Genomic DNA, 23,114 nt, shown 5'->3' with positions numbered 1-23,114 from the left:
TCCTTTGTTGCTTTCCCAAATAAAGCTAGGTACCAGTAACCACTGGGGTGGAGGGAGGGGACATTGTCAGGTATGTTTCTTTTTTTTTTTTTTTTCCTAAGTGACTAAAGTTCCTTGTTTCCCTATCTATTTATTTGATTACTTTGATAGCAGTGTAAGGTTTTATTGTGATGGTCATGGTTTTTAGACATCCAGATGAATAACTTAGTATATTAAGATGAGATAGGATAGAATAGGATAAGCTTCAAAAATTCAGGAACTTTAACACATAACATTTTATTTCTCTTTCATTCAAAGTTTACTATGGATCTGACAGATCTTCCAAGGAGGATCCTTTCCAGGTGGGCGCTTAGGAATTTAGGCTAATTCCCTCTTGTGGCTCTTCTGTCTCAAACGTGGTCAATATTATTGTTGCTGTGGGGGGAAAAGAGCTGAATGGTCACACAGTGACTTCAGTCTTTTGGTGCAGCAGTTATACATTTCACTTTCACTTACATTCCACTAGATAGTCATATGGCCTCACATAACTGCAAGGGGGTAGGGAAGCTCCATTTCTATGTGTCTCAGAAAAAAATAAGAACCAGATGTAAGTGAGTACTACTCATCTCCACTGCATTGAAAAGTTTCAAAAAACATTTTTCTATAATTCTCTATTGATGGAACAAGTACTCTTTTAGCTTTATATTGGTCATAGATGGTTGAGCAGCAACTCTACTCGAGCCAGGAGAAAACATTCATTCATATTGTGTAGGCACTTTAAATGATAAAATTCTTTGGTTCTGTATTTCAGCACCAGAACTTGAGGACAGCTCCTCCGCATTGTAAATGATTCTGCCTGTACATCAGGTTTATTAGCAGTACTGATTTCCTGAATTTTCATAGAGGTATTACATATATACAACACAAGGTATTGCAATTAAAATACTTCTTGCTCTCATTCCTCTATCCCACAAATTTGAGCAACTTCTTTGATGAGCAGGGACAGAATGCCAAAATGCCATCCTAAGTGGTTGTCAAGTCTATCTAAATTTTAAGGAACAACCTTTACTTTCTGAACTCATGAGACTGCACTGCCTTTCACCCTAATGAAACTGCGAAGTAATTTTGGAATCATAGGGGAAAGTCTGGCTCTAGCCCTCAGGGGATATATTGAATAATTTGTTTCTTGCTGACCTCAATCGGTCTATAATTTCTAGACTTTTTAAGCTATTGTCTGTGAATCTCTCCCTCTCTCTGGGTTCTTATTTGGAAACTATTCCCGCGGTATATATAACTTAAGGAGTCCCAGGCACGGCAATTATTGCTAAAAGAAATTCACATGTGGCAGCTCTCTCCATACGTGGTATGGAAATTAATAAGCATTTATTTTATGGCAAAATAAAAATAAAACTGTAGGTAGGGCTATGTCCTTGTTTCTTCATATATACATGTCTCTTTACGTATAGTGGTTTCTCTCCAAGTAAGCATTTAGGACGATGAGTTTAGTTCTTAGAAACCTGAGGGTGAACCGAATGGATTCTGAGCATGCTGGTGTTTTTTATTATTCCTGTCAATCCCTCAAGCACGTTTCTTTGTGATTTCCCATTAAAAGTAGGGGCCTCAGCACTGACTTCCCATAATGTACTAGGGACAGCTCCCTCTCCCCTCTGCAGGACTCCCTATTTGCCTCATTCCTTTCTCTTCTCTCTAGCAATAGCAATATCAGACATCCCAGCAGCGTGTTCCTGTTCATCCAAACCTGGCAGCCACTCAGGGAAAAGGACAACAAAATGAAGCCACATTCCCAGAAAAAGACAAAAATAAAATAAAACCTGCAGAGGGATATGTTTTTGGAAGGGCAACAGTTGGCAGAAAAAAAAAAAGATCTTTTTTTGGCAGAAAAAAAATTAATGTGTCAGAGTCCCACCAGTGGGTCAGCTTTTTGTTATTTCTACAGTAGGATTGCATCTGCACCTTCAGATCCTGCTGGCTCTTTCAGACATGCCTAACCTGTCATCAAAACACTACCCAGTTCTGAAGAGAGCTGATGTGGTGTCCCATGCCACTCTAGGCATCATGAGCAGCATCCTTTCACTCTCATCTGGTCTGTAATGTTTGCTCACCGGTCTGGTGGAGCTGTGGAGAAGGCTGTCGTCATGGGAGGGCAGATGGTGGGGGCGGGGGAGGCAGGGGGTCTATAGGACCTCTTTCTGCTCAAATTTGCTGTGAACCTAAAACTGCTCTAAAAAATAGTCTATTCAAAAATAGTAAGCTAGAAAACAGGCAGTGTACTATTATTTTATCATTCCCTTAATGAATACACCTACATTCAAATGGCCTTCCTTGCTCTCATACACCCAAATCTGACATGTCCCACGGACACGGAAGAAGGGGAAGGAGCAGAGCTGCCACAAGTACTGGGGCAGCTGCAAAGGTTGAGGGACCCAATGTGGAGAGCCAGAGGTGGGGGAGGACGCATGTGTCCAGTGTCATGTGGACACATTCCAAATATTAAGACCACAAGCTAATAGAATAATAATACTTTGTTTTTACATAGCCCCCACTTTTGGAGGTATTCCAAGTGCCTTGCCAACTGAGACTTTCACCAGCCCTAAATGAAGTGCTACCGTGTCCCCTTGCTCAAAACAGGGACAGCTGAAACATCAATAAGTGGGACTCAGGAAAAGGTGACATGATACTCCTTCCCCACACCACACATTCACCAGGAAGGCCAGCAGTTGACATGCCACAAACATTCCTTGGTCAACTGAGGAAGCAACAGATGCTATCCAAGAAAAGGGGGCTGAGATCTGTCATCCAGGAAGCCTGGCAGCCTTCCTCCTCCTGGAGGCACCAGCAGTCTGAGATGTCATGTGGGAGTAGATTAGTCCATAGGCACCTACGCTGTTCACATGAAGCATTTAGCTCTCTCTCTTAGCAGCCTGTGGGGTGATCCCCTCTGCTCCTATGTAAATAAGACCCATGACCCTCCCGCCAGCCACACTCCAACTAGCCTTGCTTCAGGTAATTTTTCATAAGTGTCTCATGAGCAGACCAGTGATCCAAACAAAATTTCAAACTCATGGTGAAACTGGATGAGGGTAAAATAAAGAATTGCACAGAGTGGGCAGAAAGCCAGTCTTATATTTGGGAATGAGGAAAGTGAGGCAAAGGAGGAAACTGTCATGCATGGTATTTCCATGGTGCTGTAGTTTCACTGTCTGATACTTTAAAGCAAGGGAGCTAGGGGCAAGCATAAAATAGTTTTACCTGCATGCATTCCCCTGTGAAATAAGTTCCTTTCTTAAGAGACCAGCACAGTCATGACAGGTTAGGGAGCTCTATGCCAGCCACGTTGTATCTCAAGGCCCTGCAAACCATGGAGTGGCACTAGAGGCTGGCAAGTTCATAAATAACCCTCCCAGTCGATTGCATTTTTAATCACGGTGTGTACCATGATCACTAATGGCACTTGCTTACGGGACAAAGCCCCAGTATTTATCTTGTTTTAATTATATTAGAAAGCAGTGATATTCAATTAACCAACTAATCAAGCAAGCCAATCAATACTGGTCCTGGCAGGATTCTCCATTGCCTGGCTTATTGTTCTGGGTGGCAGTGCGTGCATTAGAGTCAGATGGAGTTAACTCTTGATGGCCAAGGTCCTGCTGCTAAGAAGTAAGCAGGAGCAAGGAAGCCAGAATTCAGCTCTCAGACATGGGCAGAAACCCCACGGGTTCTTTCCTTTGCTTTATTATGGTGAGGACTCGCAACAGCCTCCATTTGGTTTGAGGTGTTATTTGTTCTACATAGTATGCTTGTTTTCCGAATACATGTAAGAAACCATTTCCTGCATTCTGAGGATTGAAGAGCTGAGATTCCATATCATATAAGAAGCCAATGGCAGAGCTCTAAGTTTTGAGCTGAGAATCTAAATACCATGAGATGATGGCATGATGTTTCCAAGGATTGCCATGTGGTTCCCAGCTCCACCATGTAGCTTAACAGCAGTGGATCACCCTGGGAAGCCTCTACCAAGACTATTTGGGGCATGTGTGTCTAGACTCATGATTAGCTGGAAGATATACTAAGTCAAGGTCAGAACTGCTCTAGGGCTGAGGGCTCTGTGAGCTGGGCACACCCCTCTCCCCATTCACATGTGTCCAAGGACACCTGGCTTTGCGACTGTGTGGTTGGTTGTCCAAGGATTGGAAATGGTTGTTGACTAGAGAGGAAAGTGTTCCCCTTGGGCTATGCTCATTATTCTTCATCCTCATCAGGCTCCTCCTACTGACACACCTGAACATAAACACTCACATAACAACTCCACTTCCCAAGGTGAACTGATGACTGAAATTTCCTCAGGGTTTCCTAGTTACCTGATTATTTTTCCTGACTTCTGAGGCAAGAGATAGTGTGGAATTTGCTCCTGGATGCTCCTTACTTGGGTGGTTATGTATTCCTCAGACCCCAAGCCTTGCGACAGTTTCAGGAATTCCCGCCCTTCACAAAGCTGAAGGTCTCAACTGGAACCTCTGTATATGGTCTGCTGCTAGATGATGATGGCATTAGAAAAGGAGAAACTATCCAGATAAGATGGGATTCAAGGATGCCCACCATTAGCTCACAACTCCCTAGCAGGTGGCATGGCCCATACACAAGATTAATCCCTTTGAAGCCCAGTCACTTTATTCCAAAATGGAAGTAGTTCTGTTTGATGACCAGACTGTACCCTAGAAATGTCTTTTCAAATGTATTAAAGCTCTAAGGCACCCTTGGATGGAAAGTAGAAATCACTTGGTGCAGCCAGGTCGATGCTTATGCAGAAAGACAGTAAGCACGTTGCTGGTTGGAGAAACCACCCAAGTTCTCAAGCCCTTGCACCTCTGTGGGCAGGTGACTCCCTGCTACTTCAGATAAGCAAGACTCAAAACCTAATTCCTAAAGTGCAGCTGTCTGAATCCAAGTGAATATGTGGAAAAAATGAGACATTTCACAGAGAGATAGATTAAAAGGAAAAGAATCTTAAGACTGCCATAGTTTCCAAACATTTGATGAGTTTCAATTCATTAAGAGTTTCGTAGGCTTGTTAATTTCCTAAGAGCAAATGGGGCCTTAATGTCAGACAACAATCAGTAATTTGAAGGGGGCAAAAAAGAATAAGAAGTAAAACAGTCATTACCTAGCACGATGTTTAATCAAAAGACACCAGGAACTTTCAACTTCACAGTAATGTTTTAAAAGGTTGGAGATTTCAAATGCACACAGTCTTTGACTCTGGCTAGCAGGCTGGAAAAATGGACATACTTGTGATAATTGATTGTGATGGATTTTTAAAATTCAGCTCCTTACCCTCCCCCCCACACCCACACCCAAACACAGACACATACACCACACATATACACACACTCTTACCCCAAACCTTCTCTTTTTCCCTAGAGCTGGATTCAGTTTGGGTTCCAGCCCAGTGAACATAGGGAAACAAGGCTTTATCATGGGATTTGATGTCTGCTGAGCCACACATTGATACTGAGTCAACTTCTTCTTGATTCTGAGCCATTTTAGAGCTCCTCTTTTCTAATGACTTTTTCTTATTCCCACCCATCCCTTTTCATGTTATAGTTAGGACCTGTGTGCACCTCCATTTCCCCTGCTCTTCGGCATTAAGGGTGTGACCATGTGGTTTGTGGATTCCCCAAGCCCTTTGGGACCCCCATCCTGCACTGGCTGCTGGCTTCTAGATGACTGCTCAGAATGTTAGTGCCCATGTGTGTGGCTGGCAGGGTCATAGTGCACGGTACCTGCAGCTGAGCCCTGTCCTGTTCTTCAGGGACTACCCAGATTCACATGTGTATCTGCTAGGGTCTGTGTACGCTCGCTTCTGCTACACAAGGTATTCAGTTTGAGATTCAGGGATTCATAAATACCTAGGAAGGACCCCACTGATCTTGTCTGCATGCTCAATTCTTTGCCCAGGACTGAAAATGACCCCAATCCTGTCTTCTTGCTGTTCTCCTGCCACCTGATCCTTCCCATACACACCCTTCATATTGCTACCCAATTCCTAATTGTTAGATTCATGATGCCAATTGACCATATTCAATTGAATGAATGAATAATGGTTCCAAAGGCTTCTCTTCAACTTTTAAGGTGCTGCGTTGCCTGACCTGACCAATATAGCACAGTACTTAGCTTGGGATAGACACTTAACAAATGCTTGATAATTGGTAAACAAAATAGTGTTTTTGAAAGTATGGAAACAACCTGTTTTGATCTAGATGCTTAGAATGGTTTTGAAACCTGGACAATCAGGCAGGACCCAGCTGACCCCAAAGCACAATTCAAACTCAACACCCAGAGTTTCTCAAAGTTATGAACCTGGTATATGGTGTGGTTGGGACTCAAACCCAGGTCTCTTCAGGGCTCTTCCCGCTCACTATTCCTAATTGCTTCCTGTGGCCTGCCATTGCTTGTTGCATTTGTCGTTGTTTAAAAGCTGATTTTATCTACTTCTGGGATCAAGTTTCTCTATTAGCATTAAAAGGGACAGACAGGGCTGGGTGCAGTGGCTCATGCCTGTAATCCCAGCCCTTTGGGAAGCCAAGGCAGATCACTTGAGGTCAGGAATCTGAGACCAGCCTGGCCAACATGGTGAAACCCCATCTCTACTAAAAATACAAGAATTAGCTGGGTGAGGTGGCAGGCGCCTGTAATCCCAGCTACTTGGGAGGCTGAGGCAGGAGGATCACTTGAGCCCAGGAGGCGGCGGTTGCAGTGAGCCGAGATGGCGCCATTGCACTCCAGGCTGAGCAACACAGTGAGACTCTGTCTACAAAAAGAAAAAGAAAAAAAAAAAAAAAAAAGCGGGGAGGACCGACAGTATTTCCCAGAGCCAAATGATGCCCAAAGAGTAGATGAGGTAGCTCAGGGCATGAGGAGCCCAGCGTGGCCTGTGGTTTAGGTGGTGTTATAAACCCAGCTCGCCCTGTGTATAGCAGAAGTAGCAGAGGGGCCACAAAAGCAAGCACTGCCTACTTTTAAGTGTCTCTGCAAACCAGGGCATATGAGGCCTCATTTGCAGAAAAAAAAAGAGTGAGGTCTAAGTTGGGGAAATTCAAGGTCAAAGCCAGGTTTGGACCGAATTATTTGCTACTACTCCCTAAGCCCCACTCCAGACAGTTGACCCCACAATAATTTCTGGGCCCTGTGGGCTGCATCTCCCTAAAGATAAAAGCAATTTTAGTACCTGCTGCAGAGAAAGTAGAGGGAGCAAACTCCAGGGGAGAGGGTTCTGATGGGATATGGATTCCTTCATAGCAATTACCACAAGCACCAGAGCTTTCAATTTAATTAAACCAATTCTTCAGTTTTGGGATCCATCTCTGGGCTTAGTTGCTTTTCTTCTTTCTTTTCATTCTTTCTTTTTTATAACGTTCTTGCTTCTTCAGTCTTGTATCTGAGTGCAGCGGGATATCTGAAATAATGACGAGCAGATGAACAAAAAAGGAAAAATGATTTCTCTTCTGGTGCCTTAATGGAAGGCAGTGAAAGAACTGAATCAAGAAGTTAATAGTTACTATCATTTATGCACCCTAGAAAGCTTGATACAGGCGAACTCTAAATTATCTTTGCTAACGGTACAGTGGTAGCAAATGAAATGATGCCATGGATCTGTTTAGTACTTGCTATTTCCCAAGCGATTTTCCACACAATCTCTCATTGAACCTACCCAGCAACTCCTTGAAGTTGGCACCATTATCTCATGTGACAGATGAGAAAGGTTAAATGACTTCTCAAAAATCACCCAGCCGATATGTGGCAGTCAGCTCTCAAATCCAGGTCTTTTGATTTTGAGTCCAGTGCTCCATAAACAATCCTAAAATCTCATCTGGAGTGTTACTTTTAGTTTTCTCTCCCACAAAATCAATGCATGCAGTGGACAATTTGCTAGGTTGTAAGTGTCAGCTCCGCTCTGTCTTCTAACTATGGGTAAAGCTTCCAAACCAGAACTAGAGTGTGACAAGCTCTCAGAACAACCCAGGTAGGGTTTCTTACCCCTATTTTACCGTAAAGAAGCTGAGGCTCGGAGGCACTCATAACTCAGCCCAGGCATGTCTCTAGTAAACAGTAGGCTGCTGCCCCAGCCTGCTCTGATGGGGTGCCACGGGGCTGCTGGCTTGCAGGGTCGAAGTGCTGCAGATGCCTGCCTCTTGGTAAGCCTGTGCAGGGTGGTGGTGAGTGTGGATGGCATGGCCAGAACACATTTGGCATGGCCAGTCCTGCAGTCCCCACCCCACTGGTGGTGGGCCAGCCATGCCAGGTTCCTTTCCACAGAAGTTCCCATTTTGCATCTCTGCCAACTAGATGGATGTGAGGGAGAACAGGAAAGCTGTGGATACCCAGGGGAGAAGCTCAGCCTCCCTCTCTCATATGGACTTGTGCTTTCCTCAGTGGTCCTGTGCAGGCTGCCTGGATGTAAGGCTCAGGGGCCCAGACAACATAAAGCACTGGAAGCTTACGAGGGGTCACATGCCATAAAGGAAGTGAGACTTCAACCCCCCTAGTAAGAGGAATTGGTTCCACTGAGCCACCCACTATTTGTGGCTTCCCGCCCCCAGCTCCATCCAAACCTTGGGTTGTGGTGTTACGCAGAGTTGTGTGAACTTGAACCACTGACCTTAGGGAGTCATGAACGACAAGTGGTCTCTAGGGACTGGCAGTCCGCTGATGTTTTGACCCCTTAGACCCAGCATCTCTGCCTTCCTCCCCAGCCTCCCCACTGAGCTTAAGCCAGCAGAGGAGCTCCCCCTTCCCCCGAAATGCCATCCAAAGCAGATGGTGCCTCTCTCCTTAGTGCACGCAAGGAATAAGCCTAACAACAATATTAATTGATCAGTTAATTAATTTAAAAGTCTCATTGCCATGGGAACCTGACATGTACATAACACTGTGCTGTCTCCTAGTAAGTGGGCTGGGAGAGGCAGGCTCACCCCATTTGTCTGTGCCACCAACTCTTTCCTACCTGCAGCCATGGGACCACCTTGAAGGACAGTCCTACTCCCCTCTTTACCCCCTCCATGGAAAGGGGAAAAAGCCCATCAAGGTTTGCTGTCAAGGGGTCCACTGAAAATCAAGTTACAACCAGCACAATGTGTTTCAGAGCATCTGGGCTCCGATCCATCAGCCCAGGACATCATTAATAATCCACAGCCTAATGACGGAGATGAATATTGGAGCAGGGAGCAGAGGGGTGGCAGCCCCCGAGCGGCAAGGCAGAGGGAGAGAGTGACTTATGAGCTTGGTTCCAGGTGTAACCTTCTCCCCACCACCAAGCCGAGCCAGAATGATTTATTGATACAGTAAACGGATTTTTATAATTAAAATTGATTTTCAGTTTTAGCCTGGTCTGGAAGGGCTGGGTCAAGTTCAAGAAGGGAAAGGGGGGCAACCCGGGGAAAGGAAGGGAAATGTACTCTCAATTTCCCATATATCTTGGATTGTTAGAGCAGGAAGGAGCCTCTCATTTTACAGCTGAGAAAACGGCAGCCCTGAGAGGTTGATCTATTTGGTCAACCTCTGCTGGTGAAGTAAGGCAGAGCTGAGATTGGTTTTGGGTCTCCTGGATCTCTGAGATACACTCATTTCCCTGGGACTGTGTGTGTAGGTGCTCACAGAGCCACAGTATACTGTTGTGTAGGTTGGTCACTGCACAAGGACTCCTCACCAAGGGGCTGAGTAGGGGCTGAAATCTAGCCATGTCTTGTGCACTAGGGCAGAGTGGCTGCTACCCAGAGGATGTGCTCGGAGGCACCATCTGGAACTGTTTCTTTTAGTGGACTGCTCGAGGCTGGCCGGCAGCTGCCCGGGTCCTGAAGGGCTGTGCCCATCTGACCCACTCCCATCATTCAGTGCCTGGGGGCTATGCTGGGGATGTTTATTGACAGCCCCTGGTGGGCTTTGCTGCAGACAGTGGAAATACCTTGGGGTGTGGCTTGTCCAGCCTAGCATCATTCATCAGGCAGAGAACTGGTGACACTGGCAGCAGCAGACACTAATTGATAAATAGTGTGGTGTGTCTGCATTTTCACGCACAGATGGGCCTGGGCACATCTGGATTGCGCTGGTGCTTCTGGCACTCCCACATGTGCACACACTGCCCTTGTTCAGTCCCTGCAGGAAAAGCACAGCTAGGAGAGAGAAAGTGAGTTCGTGTCCGTTGCCAAATTTTACTGAGTAGCCTTTTTCTGTTCCAGCCCACTGCAGGCATCGCAGCCGCAGGACTCTGCATCCTTCCCAACCTTGGCTCTCCACATTGGGTCCCTCAGCCTTTGCAGCAGCCCCAGTACTGGTGGCAGTTCTGCTCCTTCCCCTTCTTCCATGTCCCCTGGGCATGTCAGATTTGGCCGTGTGAGAGCAAGGAAGGACATTTGAATGTAGGTGTATTCATTAAAGGAATGATAAAACAGTAGTATACTGCCTGTTTTCTAACTTACTATTTTTGAATAGACTATTTTTTAGAGCAGTTTTAGGTTCACAGCAAATTTGAGCAGAAAGAGGTCCTATAAACCCCCTGCCTCCTCCCACTGTCCACCACTATCAACATTCCCAACCAGAGTGGTCCCTTTGTTACAATCAATGAACCTACATTGACATATCATTATCATCCAGAGTCCACAGTCTTTGGTAGGGCTCACTCTGGGGTTGTACATCCTATGGGTTTGGACAAATGTGTAATGACAGGTATCCACCATTATGATATCATACAGAGGAGTTTCACTGCCCTAAAAATTCTCTGTGCTCTGCCCATTCATCCCTCTCCACTCCCACAACCCCGTCCAACCCCTGAAAACCACAGATCCTTTTTTTTTTTTTAATTTTTATTTTAGGTTCAACACATGTATGTGCAAGTTTGTTGCATGGGTAAATCGCGTGTCGCTGAAGTTTGGTGTACAAATGATCCCACCACCCAGGTAGTGAGCATAGTACCAGATAGACAGTTTTTCAACCCTCAGCCCCCTTTCATCCTCCCCACTCTAGTACTCCCTGGCGTCTGTTGTTCCCGTCTTTATCTTTATGTTCCCATGTGTACTCACTGTTTAGTTCTCACCTATTAGTGGGAACATACAGTATTTCATTCTCTGTTCCTGCATTAATTTGCTTAGGATAACGGCCTCCAGTTGCATCCACGTGGCTGTAAAAAGCATGATCTCATTCTTTATTATGAGTACATAGTACTCCACGGTATCTATATACCACATTTTCTTTATCCAGTCTTCCATTGATGGGCATCCAGGTTGACTCCATGTCTTTGCTATTGTGAGCAGTACTTCGATAAACATACGAGTGCAGGTCTTTTTGGTAGAACAATTTATTTTTCTTTGGGTTGATACCTAGTAATGGGATTGCTAGGTTGAATGGCAGTTCTGTTTTAAGTTCTTTGAGAACTCTCCAAACTGGTTTCCACAGGGGCTGAACTAATTTACACTCCCACCGATAGTGCATCAGTGTCCTTTTTCCTCCACAACCTCTCCATCTGTTATTTTTTGTCTTTTTAATAATAGCCTTTCTGACAGGTATGAGATTATATCTCATTGAACCACAGGTCTTTCTAGTGTCTCCATAGTTTTTGCCTTTTCCAGGTCATATAGTTGGAATCACACAATGTAGGCTTTTCAGATTGGCTTCTTTCATTTAATAATATGCATTTTAGGTTCCTCCATATCTCCTCATGGCTTGATAGCTCATTCCTTCTTAGAACTGAATAATATTCCATTGTCTGGATGTACCACACCATTTATTTATCCATCGCCTACTGAAGGGCACCTTGTTCGCTTCCAAGTGTTGGCAATTATGAATAACATTGCTATAAACATCTGTGTGCAGGTCTCATTTGGTGGGTAGTGGATGGACCGCCCCTCACTATAGAAGAACCAAGATGCACAAAGGCTTCAGTGAGTCCAGTCTGGCTGGAGGGCCTTGGGAATGCACACCTTATCCCACAGGTACCGAGCCCTGGAGGTTTGAAGGGAATACCATGGGCTGGTTTTCTTTTGCTTTTCTTTTTTCCTTTTTTCTTTTTTTTTTTTTTTTTTTTTTTTTTTTTTTTTTTTTGAGTTGGAGTTTTGCTCTTGTTGCCCAGGCTGGAGTGCAGTGACACCATCTTGGCTCACTGCAACCTCTGTCTCCTGGGTTCAAGTGATTATCCTGCCTCAGCCTCCCAAGTAGCTGGGATTACAGGTGCGTGCCACCACACCCAGCTAGATGGGCTGGTTTTCTAAGCCATGATCTCTGAGTGATATTCCCAGCTGTACTGAGAAATAAGTCTGAGCCTGCAGACTCTCTGTAGATGGAGGGTCCATCCAAGCTTTCTGTGCTATTCATTTAGGGTATCCTAAGAACTCTAAACCCTGAAGTGGCTCAATACTGTCTGCTAGGGATGGAGGAGGGACCTCTTTAGAAGCTAAGTCACCAAGAGATGTAAAGAATGCTCCTAGCTATTTGTTTTTGTAATTATGATTAGATTACCGTGGCACACAAGCAATAAATTAGGGCAACAGTACCAGTAAACACAGTTTAATGTTGCATCAAACCCTTTCATAAGTCATGTCTGATTATATTTAATGATGTTATTCTTATTATTTTTCTTCAAATTGGATGTAACTGGCAAACACATAGCATAAATATCTGCATTGAGTGGTTATATCCAATAAAAGTTTGGATTAGGCAACTAAGTTTTTACCCAACTCTGGGATTCTTTGGTCCTAGAATTAGGTTAGTGCAGCCAACCTACGCTTTCATAGTTATTTTTGTCTTCTTCCCAGGTGTTTTCCTGGATCTGGGGTCTGGATGGGTGTGGGTGGTTTCTCCAAGCATCACAAAAGGTCTAAGCATAGCTCCTACAGAATTGTGCACATGAGTGTCACAGGGTCACTGATCACAGGGGACAGGAAGGAGGAGAGTGGTGAGAAAAGAGAAAAGGCCAGCCCCAAAGGCAGGGGCTATGGTCAGGCAGGGTCTCCTGCTCCTGGAGTCATTGAGAACACAGGACTTTCACTTCTGCTCCTTGACTCTGCTCCCAAAAACAAGCCTGCAGCAGCCACTGCCAGCAACGGCCTGACGCCAGCCCATTCGTGCTGAAGTATGAGTGAGAGAGAGCCCACTAGGCAATTTCTGATAAAGAATGAAAGCAGGAAGAAGAAAAGGGAAAATCTAATAGGGAGCTGAGGCATGCAAAGCTAACCTTTCATACCCTGTGGTGTCACCAATGCCACCCTTTGCTCAGCCCCCGGCCGCCTTTCGTCGACACAGCAGCTATTTGGTCTGCACTGTTTTCAGATTCCCTTCACTCCTTGAAGAAGCATTGGCCAGAGAAGCACCAGGGGTGGGGAGACCCTCTCCAGGCTTTGCTGAGTCTCAGTGACCCGACATGAGGGCAGACCAGGGTGGCCTTCCAGGCCAGGAGTCTTGCAGAGATTAGATGGGCCCTACGGGGTGGAGCTTTCTGTCCAACTTTTCTGCCTTCAATGACCCTTTTCCAGCTACACCCTCCATCTCAGAGAGCTGGCTTTATTAAGGCCCATGCTAGCCAAAGATGCCTTTGCATGTCAATGATTTTGCTGGATTCTCCCTTGGCTGGACCAGGGTGAATGGCACAGAAAGCTGAGAGGGACCCTTCCAATTCCTCCATCTACAGACATTCTGCAAGGTCAGACTGATTCTTCAGCATAGCTGGAAAGACGCCTCGGAAAACATGGCCTAGTAAACCAGCCCACGGCCTTCCCTTCAAATCTACAGGGCCACAACTGAGCATCTGTGTCAGAACTAATGGCCCACTCAGTTCTAGCAGCCTGGGAGCCCTGTGAAGGTCAGGTTGTCCTAAAGAATTGGCCCACCTGTGGGCTCCTGCTGCTCTGTGTCCCCAGACCATACCCTTGGCCCCAAGACAGGATGTAGATTCCCTACCAAGCTCCAGGCAGCAGTTGCCTCAGGATATGGCCAGCCCTGAAGTCTGCAGCCCCTGGATCCAGTGAAACAATTCCATAATTGGTAAAGTCTCATGAAGTCAGACATACCAGCCCCTGCTGGGTTTGGCCAGGGTGACATTGCACCACCACACTGAGCGATTGTCTAGAATCTTGCCAGGCCCCAGATGATAGAGAGCCTTATTTGGAGATGTGTGTCATGTAGAAGGAGACAGACCTTGTGAGGGAAACATGTTGGCCAAAGAGTGATTATAAGATATATTTGAATGGAAATTCTCCAAGCCAACTCTGCCTTCATCATTGTCCATGATGTTTGGGACAACTTGCCTCTGCAACCAATTAGGCAGCTGCAGCTCATCACGAGAGAGTTACAGCCACCTGGCCCCTGCAAGAGAGGGGACTGGAGTGGAGAAAGGAGGCTGCGCCATGTCATAGAGCAGCCGTTGGTCACAGACACCTTGTGTTAGGGACCTGGCACTGCCATTCACAGGCTGCGTGACCTTGAGCAAGTCGCTTAACCCCTCCCAACCTGTGTCTTCATCTGTAAACTGGAGGCTGTCCTCCCTGAGCTGGCTACCTCACCAGAATGTGGTCATAGGCAACCATGGCTGTGAAATTGCTTATGAATGGGGAAGCCATGTACAGCTGTCCAGTGTTATCTCTATGCTCACCCCCACCCTGTCCCTGTGCCCCCATAGCCTTCCACCTGCCGTATCACTCAGATTCCAGGGCAAAATGCATAATCCTCAAATCACTAACTCCTCTGCTCCCTATGGTCAAGGCCAGTTGTCCCAAACCCAGCCCATTAACAGGGTCATGGGTTGGGGAATGAGTGGAGGAGTACAGGGCCTTGAGAAAATACAGATGCCCAGCTCCTGGGAATTTTGATTTTGCTGCTCAGAGCTTGGCCCAGGCACCAGCATCTTAAATCCAGCAAAACAGAATCTACTGTTGATTCTGTTGCTCAGTGAAGTTTGGAGCCAATTAACCTAGACCCCAAATTCCTGCCTTTCCCTCCTCCTTAGCACCTTGTAAGTGCCTTGATTCTCCCCTTAAACTGTGAGCATCCCTGAGGGGTGGCCCACAACTCAGCAAACGGTGGCATGGTGAACTTGCCTGGGGAGGCACACAACCCAAACCAGCCCCACTCTGCCCCAGACCCTGGTCCAGGTTAAGCTATATTCCCAGCAACATCCGAAGCAGGCTTAATGGAGGAGAAAAGCATTCGAAAATGAATTCCACGTATGGCATGCTACCTGCCCTGAATTGTCACATCCGTTTTCTTGCTGCTGCCTCAGCCCTGTATCCTGCAGGTTTGTTTGCAAACTCAGCAAATGCCCCATGTTTAATTGTGTCTGGAGGCTGCATCCTCATGTCCCTGTCACAGCAGGGGCTGCTGGATTCTGTGCCAAATACCACCATGCTGGGCCTCACTGCCTGACCCTGGCCTTCCAGACGTGCCGTGCCAACTCATGTCCCAACATGCCGGCACACAGCACGGCCTCTTGTACTTGGCTAGGAGCCAGCATGATTTCCTATCCCAGACCCAGGGCACGCTTTTGGTTATGCTTGTTCACAGAGGTCAGGGGAGACCCTGATTAAATAAAGAACACAGATAACCTTGACCTCATTTCATCAGATAGTTGGAAGTGTTCCCTGTCTTTTCTTAACTTTTCCAGGTGCTGGGGCAATAAAACTTACTTGCTGGGGTTTTCCTCTTTTCCTTCCTATGCAATTCAAGAGCAGAGCAAAAGCTCTCAGAATAGCTGAAGAGAGGAGAGAAAGAGACAGGGAACTGGTTGGAAAGTTCTGGGGCTGTGCTGTGTGGCCAAAGCCCTATTGATAGGGAGGGGTTCTTTAGGCCTGGGGATCACAGGGCATCACCCAGTGGAGTCAGTGGTCAGGTTAGGAATAAGACTGTGAGATCCCATCACAAGTTCTCTTCAGTTCTGACTCCTTTTCCAGCACTTACATATATGGTAACTGAGGGCTGAAGTATTCAGCAATCACAGGGACACATCTGGAAACCTTTAAAGTTGAATTTTAAAATTGAACTTTGCATTAACGTGAATGTTGTCTGTCCCAGGAAAAGCAAACCCAAAAGATGAGTTGGCCATGGTGGTCGTGCCTATAAGGACAGATGCTGGGTGTTAGGTTTGGATGGTCTAGGACTGTGTTGAGTGTTTTACATGTATTATGTCATTTAATCTGCATAGCTTTCAGAGGCTTGAGAATGTTGAGTGCGCCTGACCAAGCTCTTAAGTGGCAGAGTTAAGATCTAAGCATCAGCTCTCAGACTGCACAGCCCAGGTCCCAGCAGCAGCAGGTCCCAGGTCCCCTGTGACCCACAGACTCCTGACTAACATTCAGTTATTAAAAGCCTCCACCTATCTGCTGCCCCTCCCTGTGGGCTGCTACACTTTTAGATCCTTCTCCCAGGTTCTCCATCTACTGAGCTTGTCTGTCATAGGCAATGGCATTTTGGTATTGGGGGTTGTCTGTTGCTGTAGCAGAGGCCTGAATGGACAGAAATAGGGTGGCTGAGACTCCCGGCCTTCCCCCAGGCCACCCCCCCTGAGAATGGGCCCAAATTAGCCTGGAATTAGCCTCCTCCTACCCCATCTCCACCCCAGGGCCAGCAATTATTTCTGAGCTCACTGAACCCCTAGTCTAAATATAGCTCTAATAGCCATTTCTCATTTTGGAATGGGGAATCTATTCTGAGCCTTAGTCGGATATAGATCAGACTCCCCAGATGCGCAAAATGTGAAATGGATGCATTATCCGTACCACCACCACCACTCACCCCTTGAAAACGAACTTCCTAATGGAAAGCAACTGGCCTACTACTACAGTCCGGTGGGGTCAGCTCCTGGCAGATGGAAGCGGGAAGCTCTGCATTACGTCTGCAGCCTAGAAAGCATGAAGGCTGGCACAGCGCCGCTGGGTCCCCTGACTGTCCTCCCAGTCCCACACAGAGAAAGGCAAGAAGGGACGTTGCTGAGCACTGACAACAGGATTTAATCGTCACCTAATACTGCTCCCTTTATGCATAGGAGGAAACCGAGGCTCAAAGACACATTTTTGATAAGTGGCTGAGCCAGGAGTTGAATCTAGGACTTCAGAAGCCTGTGCTCTCTCCATTCTCTCAGAAAGGATGTGCACACAACCCTTTACTCACCCTCACAATTGTTTATGTTAATGATAGATAGAAATGGCCACAGTAAACTCTAGTGGTTTCATAATTCATCATTAGAAGTTGCGACAATTTCCTTTCTTAGAATTCAAAGTATATTTCAGATTGATATCACTGTACTTTTTTGAGATCACAAGAGCTAGGGAAAGGGCAGAGCTGAGGGTCCCTATCATACAGATAGATGAAGTAACCAAGATGAGAATAAAATTGAGGGAGATCCTGGAGTGACACTCCTGGAGATTTTTCCAGCCTTAAGATAGTTAGTTATGATGGAATCTTCTGGCTTGAAAGGACAATAGAGATCAATTTATGTTGAACACTGAAAGCTAGACAGATGAAGACAATTGCTAAGGGCTTGCAGAAGTAAGGAACGGGTCTAGGATTACAGCCCAGGTCCTAGGACCCCCAGCCCAGTGATGTCCCAGCACACCATGACTCCTCCACATGGAAACTAAACTGATGCACACATAGTGCGTGATAGCGTCTGCACATATGGGGGCTGTAGGCAGAGGTGCCCTGGTCCTTGCCCAGTAATTTCTGTGGAGAGATGGAGTCTTCTCCATGTTGGGTGGAATTGGTGTGGGTTTTCTGCAGGAAGCTTCTGGGCGGACAGGTGACATCACTGAATAAGGCATTGCCAAACAATGACTTTCCCACCCAATATGGGATAGTTAATTTTATAAGGAGAAAACTCCCCCATGGCCCAGGGCTCACTTCTAGGGTGCTACTGGTCAGAAGGTGAACCAAGAGGGAGAGACCAAGCAGACAAGAGCCCTTTCCATAGTTCCAGAATATTAGAAATCTTGTGGGTATAAAGAAAAGTTGGGCTGGGCATGGTGGCTCATGACTGTAATCCCAGCACTGTGGAAGGTCAAGACAGTCAGATCCCTTGAGGTCAGGAGTTCAAGATCAGCTTGGCCAACATGGTGAACTCCTATCTCTACAAAAAAGAAGTACAAAAAAGAAATTAGCTTGGCATGGTGGTGTGTGTCTGTAGTCTCAGCTACTCAGGAGGCTGAGGTGGGATAATTGCTTGAACTTAGGAGGCAGAAGTTGCAGTGAGCTGAGATCGCGCCACTGCACTCCAGCCTGGGTGACAGAGTGAGACTCTATCTCAAAAAAAAAAAAAAAAAAAAAGAAAAAAGAAAAATTCAAGCTGTCACCCTAAAATAAATTTTGAGCTGCACAGTTAATTTAGTTTAAAAGACTAAAGGTTAAAGCATCTTTAAAATATTATTTTAATTTCCCAAGTCAATAATACCCTGTCTGTGAAAAATTCAAACTCTCCAAAGTTAACCACTGTTAGCAAATATGTAACTCTCTCTCTAGAAGTTATTCTTTGCACGAGGTTTGCATATATATGTATACACAGCTGCACAGTTGTCTTTTGAAAACAAACATTGAGTCTTAATATACCCTTTTTATAAAATTTGTTTTTTTAACTCAAATATGAATCATAGACATTCATCCATCTTAGTACATACAGACTATTATCTTAGAGTGTAGATGTGCCACGATTTTTTTAGCCAGCCCCCTGTGGATGGATATTTAGGTTGTTTCCAAACAGACATTACTACATACAAAGCCACAGTGAATATCCACAGCCAACCACCGGTGTCTAGGTGCTGGTATTTCTGCAGGAAAGATTCCAAGAGGAAGACTTTCTGGGTCATTTTAGGTTTTAGTAATAACTGCCAAATTACTCCTCAAAATGGTTGTGCTAATCTAAACACTCACCGACAGTGCATAAGGCATAAAACCCTTTTAGAGGCCAGGCATGGTGACTCACGCCTATAATCCCAGCACTTTGGGAGGCTGAGGCAGGTGGATCACGAGGTCAGAAGATTGAGACCATCCTGGTGAAACCCTGTCTCTATTAAAAATACAAAAATTAGCTGGGTGTGGTGGCGTGCACCTGTAGTCCCAGCTACTCAGTAGGCTGAGGCAGGAGAATCGCTTGAACCCAGGAGGCAGAGGCTGCAGTGAGCCACAATCACACCACTGCACTCCAGCCTGGGCAACAGAGTGAGACTCCATCTCAAAAAAAAAAAAAAAAAAAAAAAAAAAAAACTTTTAGAATGCTGTCATTTTAACAATTGTCCTTTCATATTTGAAGAATTACTGGAAGATGCCCTCAAAGCTGTATCTCTTACTGAAGAAGATACATTTTGCCTGTGTCCAGGATGACCCAGACACCAGAGGGCCCTCTTTGTCTTTCCCCAGCAGCAGGCTTGGCCCTGATCCTGCAATGGAAGCTCATATAAGTTCAGTAGAGTTAGGTGGGTACCTTGAGACAGGAGATAGGGTGAAACGAAGATGATTTAGAATTCCTTGGGTCATCTGTCGTCTCTGCCTCCTTTCTAAGCCAGCAGCACCTGGTCTTCTGAGAGTGGGGCCCTATGTTGATAAACCTAGAAGGTTCTCCTTCAGGAATATCAGTTTCCAATCATTTGAGCACCATAACTTTTCCCAGAGTCAAATCCCTTTTTGAAAAAAGATGTTTGTTTCCTAGCCAGAGAAGCCTCATACCCAGCCTTGGTTGCCTGCGAGGAAAGATGTGTTTATTTGCACACAGTCTCCTGTGGTCCAGAACACTTCTGCCCCCCATAGGTGTGTGCAAATGCTACTCCTGTGCTGAGACATGCACATCTGGGCACACCCCCTTGGGCTGCTGTGCACTCATTCACAAAATGTATCATTTACACACACTGTTTTTTTGTGGTTTGAACAGCCAGAGCATTGCTGGGAACGCTGGTCAGCAGAGCCCTTGCTAGAAGGAAGTCAGAGAGAAGGGTCAGGTGCTAGATGGAGAAGGGAGTGCCTGCCCAGCCTGCCCTGCCACTTCCCACAAGGAGCCAGTGCCAGCCAGCTAGGGAGCCTCAGCATATGCCTGGGGACTAGCTTGGCTCCGCTGCCTGGGCCAGGAGTTAGGTGTCACCGTGCCAGCCCCTCCCCGCCTTCTTCTTGGCTGCAGAAACAAAGGCTCCCATTGAGCAGGCTGTGCTTGGGAAACACACAACAGTAGGTTCCCGGTCCCAGTTCAGAAGGGGCCATAGTCTTTGTCTGTGTCATTTGCTAAAAGATAAGCCAACCGATACTTTTCTCCAAATTTTAAGGTCAGTTAAATTAAACATTTTGTGGGGGTTGGTGACTTGTATGTGTGTGATGTGTGTTTAATTCTAGGAGTACAGCTGATGAAGAACTTGCTTGACAAGTTTTTAACTTATGTATTATTTTGAAGCAGTGTTTACGTAGCAGTAACATGAAAGTTTCTAATAAAATACCCAATGTACACAGAGTCAAAAAAAAAAAAAAAAAGGCTGGAACAGGAGCAGCACTTTGATCCCCAGGACAACAGCCCCTTCCCACCTGCTGGGCTTGGGGATGGGGAGGGAAACTTTCATTTTTCTCCAGGATGTGGGGCCCTGAGGCTCTGCCCCTGCTTCAGCCCTGACCTTAAGATGGGGTCAAGAATGAGCATTTTGGCCAGGAGTCAGTATCTAGGGACTGGGTATCAAATGAGGAGTGTTGGTAGCCATGTAGCCTTGGACAAATCCCTGCAGCAACTGAGCTTCATCTGAAAAATAAGAGGATTGGCAGCTAGAATGTTTCCAAGGTCCCTCTCAGCTTGTTAACTGTGTGAATGCCAGAACACTCCTCTCATCCCCCATTCCTTTGGGCCTCCATGTTGGAGGGGTTGCTCTGGCTGCAGTCTCCTCTGTCAAATGCATAGGATCTGCCTAGCTAGAGAATCTCACACATTGCAACCCCGCAGCCCTGGAAGTCAGGAAGTCGGGCCTCCTGAGCCTGTGTGTGAATGTGAGCATGAGAGCTCAGAGAAAGGAGAGGATTTAACCTTTACACTAAGAGATTAATCTGTGGCAATAATCCAGAAATGATAGGTTTTAGAGTAGAGCCAAGGTTGCCAAATAAATGATCTCCAGGGGATTCTTGGAACACGTACAAGTGTAATAGGAACCACATTCATTCATTCACTTATTTATTTATGCGTGCATGCAAGCATTCATTCACTTTTCTCATTTACTGCGCATGAGCTGAGTACTAGGTATAGTGGAGTGAAGAGAGATGACTTCGCACCACCCATCACAGGGGCATTTTATCGGAGGCAGAGGCTGGAACAACAGAGTTGCCATTAGCATAACACTAATACATTCATATGTGTCATCCCAATTATTCTTCAAAACAACCCATCAGGGTACTTAGATGAGGAAAAAGAGGCTTGATGAAGTTAAATAAGTTGTCCAAGTCACACAGTGGTGGCAGATCCAGGATCCAAACCCAGGTCTGTTTTTCTCTCAGATCTCTGCTTCTCACTTGTCCCTGAGATAAAACTATTTCAAACTCTATTTTTCTCCCTAACCACATTTGAAGGAGTAAGAAAACCTCCTGGAGGAGGAGGCTGTGCTGAGACCAATTGTCATTCTCTCTTCAGGGCTGCTACTTGGTGATCTGCCCGTAGGTGGGGCTCCTCAGCCCCTGAACTCAGCCACACCTTCCTGGCAGTATAGTAAGTAGCCTGCAATGCTGTGAAGTTTTCAACACAGGACCTGTGTTCAGCAGAGGGACCAGAGGTTTCTCAATCCCCTGTACTATGTTCCGGGAGCCAGTGGTGTCTGGCAGGCCCGAGGGCAGGCTCCAGCCCCCAACTTCATTTCAATTTCCACCTTTGCCACCGCCCTGCTGCGTGACCTTGGGCAAGCTGCTCAGCCCCTCTGGGCTATGGCTTTTCCATCTGTGCATCAGGGAAGGGGATCGCTCTCCCGCTTGGCAAGGGGTCTGGCTAATAACGATCACGTGCCATTTTAGCGCAGCCCACACTGGGAAGCCTGAGGATGGGGTGATTTCTCGACGCTCTGCAGAAAGCACGCTGAGAGCTCCTTGCCCAGCTTCCCAGCTACTGCCGTTTGCTAATGAGGACCAACATATGTTGATGATTCCGGCGTCGGCACTCGCTCCTTGGCTGTCCGAGTTCCCAGAGCAAACTGGCTTCCTATTAGGCATTTATTCTTATTAATAGCAACAAATTGCAGCCCTCCACAACATCTGCTACTTTTCATTTACAAGAAGCTTCCCAAATCATTTGTATTGGTAGTATTTTGTGACCAATTCTTTAAGGCAGAGCAGGACTGGATCCCCCTAATCTGAAAATGAATCCAGTGAGGCATGAAAAATGGGAATATTTTGTTCAAGGTCACCCAGACACACAGATTAGATTACAGCTTGGAACCTCAGCTCCCCAAGCCTCATGCCCTGGGGCGGTTGCCTTTGCTATTCTAAATATCATCAACCTTGACCCCAGAGGTCCTGCCTAGAGGCAGGTAGGGACAGTGGTGGTAGCCAAGGCTGCTGCCCTTGACCCTGTGCCTCTGTCTGCCGTCAAGTGAGGCCCAGCTGGATTAGCCCCATGGCCCAAGCACCAGCAGGAGGAATTGCAAAGCTCAAGGCAAATCATTCCCAAGGAGTTTTTACTGCTGCCAAGTAGAAAAAAAAAAATCATTTTCTGACACTGGGGTGGCCAGATGGTCAGTACAAGGGGTCTGAAGCACATCTTTGCTTCTGGACAGCTGACCACATCTGGAGGGCTGCATTCTCTTTCCAGAGTCTTCTTTAGTACTTTGCTGAGGGGCTAGACCTTCCTGAGATCTGTAGATCTATGACCATAGAATTAAAAGAGCATGGCCAGCGTGGGAGGTACTGAGAAGGGCCATTTATCACGTTAGATCTGGCTTTCAATAATTTCTGAACTTGTACAAGTTACATACGCCATCAATGTTTGCATGACCTATTTGAAGCACAGGGTGGTAAGAAGCTACCACACTGCAACCTTCCCCCTCCTCCATTTGACTGACCTCTCCCCTCTACCTTTCACGGGACCTTTGCATCCTGGTGTAACTTTCTGTCCAGCACCTGTGTATCAGCTAGCTATTGCCACAATA

The 23,114-nt window shown here is 46.2% G+C and overlaps 1 protein-coding gene and 1 long non-coding RNA gene across 9 annotated transcripts in view, besides 2 other annotated features; one reads left to right on the top strand and one right to left on the bottom strand.

Annotated features, from left to right (window-relative positions):
- The window catches only part of PLXNA4 (plexin A4), a 525,349-nt gene that overhangs the window by 377,162 nt on the left and 125,073 nt on the right, over positions 1-23,114 (top strand). The window lies entirely within an intron of this gene.
- On the bottom strand, positions 7,238-10,666 carry PLXNA4-AS2 (PLXNA4 antisense RNA 2). Its single transcript, NR_134565.1, has 3 exons — positions 10,625-10,666; positions 9,959-10,166; positions 7,238-7,453 (listed from the first exon to the last, which is right to left on the bottom strand). It is a non-coding gene; the product is annotated as a PLXNA4 antisense RNA 2 (long non-coding RNA).
- Positions 19,546-20,061: an enhancer, noted in NCBI's record as "H3K4me1 hESC enhancer chr7:131936225-131936740 (GRCh37/hg19 assembly coordinates)". NCBI's record gives its function as "activates a minimal SCP1, AML or CMV promoter by ChIP-STARR-seq in naive H9 embryonic stem cells {active_cell/tissue: H9 hESC(naive)}" and the evidence as "EXISTENCE:reporter gene assay evidence [ECO:0000049][PMID:30033119]".
- Positions 20,062-20,579: an enhancer, noted in NCBI's record as "H3K4me1 hESC enhancer chr7:131935707-131936224 (GRCh37/hg19 assembly coordinates)". NCBI's record gives its function as "activates a minimal SCP1, AML or CMV promoter by ChIP-STARR-seq in naive H9 embryonic stem cells {active_cell/tissue: H9 hESC(naive)}" and the evidence as "EXISTENCE:reporter gene assay evidence [ECO:0000049][PMID:30033119]".

The sequence above is a fragment of the Homo sapiens genome, chromosome 7, assembly GCF_000001405.40.
Source record: "Homo sapiens chromosome 7, GRCh38.p14 Primary Assembly".
In the NCBI taxonomy this organism is placed as follows: Eukaryota; Metazoa; Chordata; class Mammalia; order Primates; family Hominidae; genus Homo; species Homo sapiens.
This window is presented reverse-complemented; position numbering and strand designations above follow the sequence as displayed.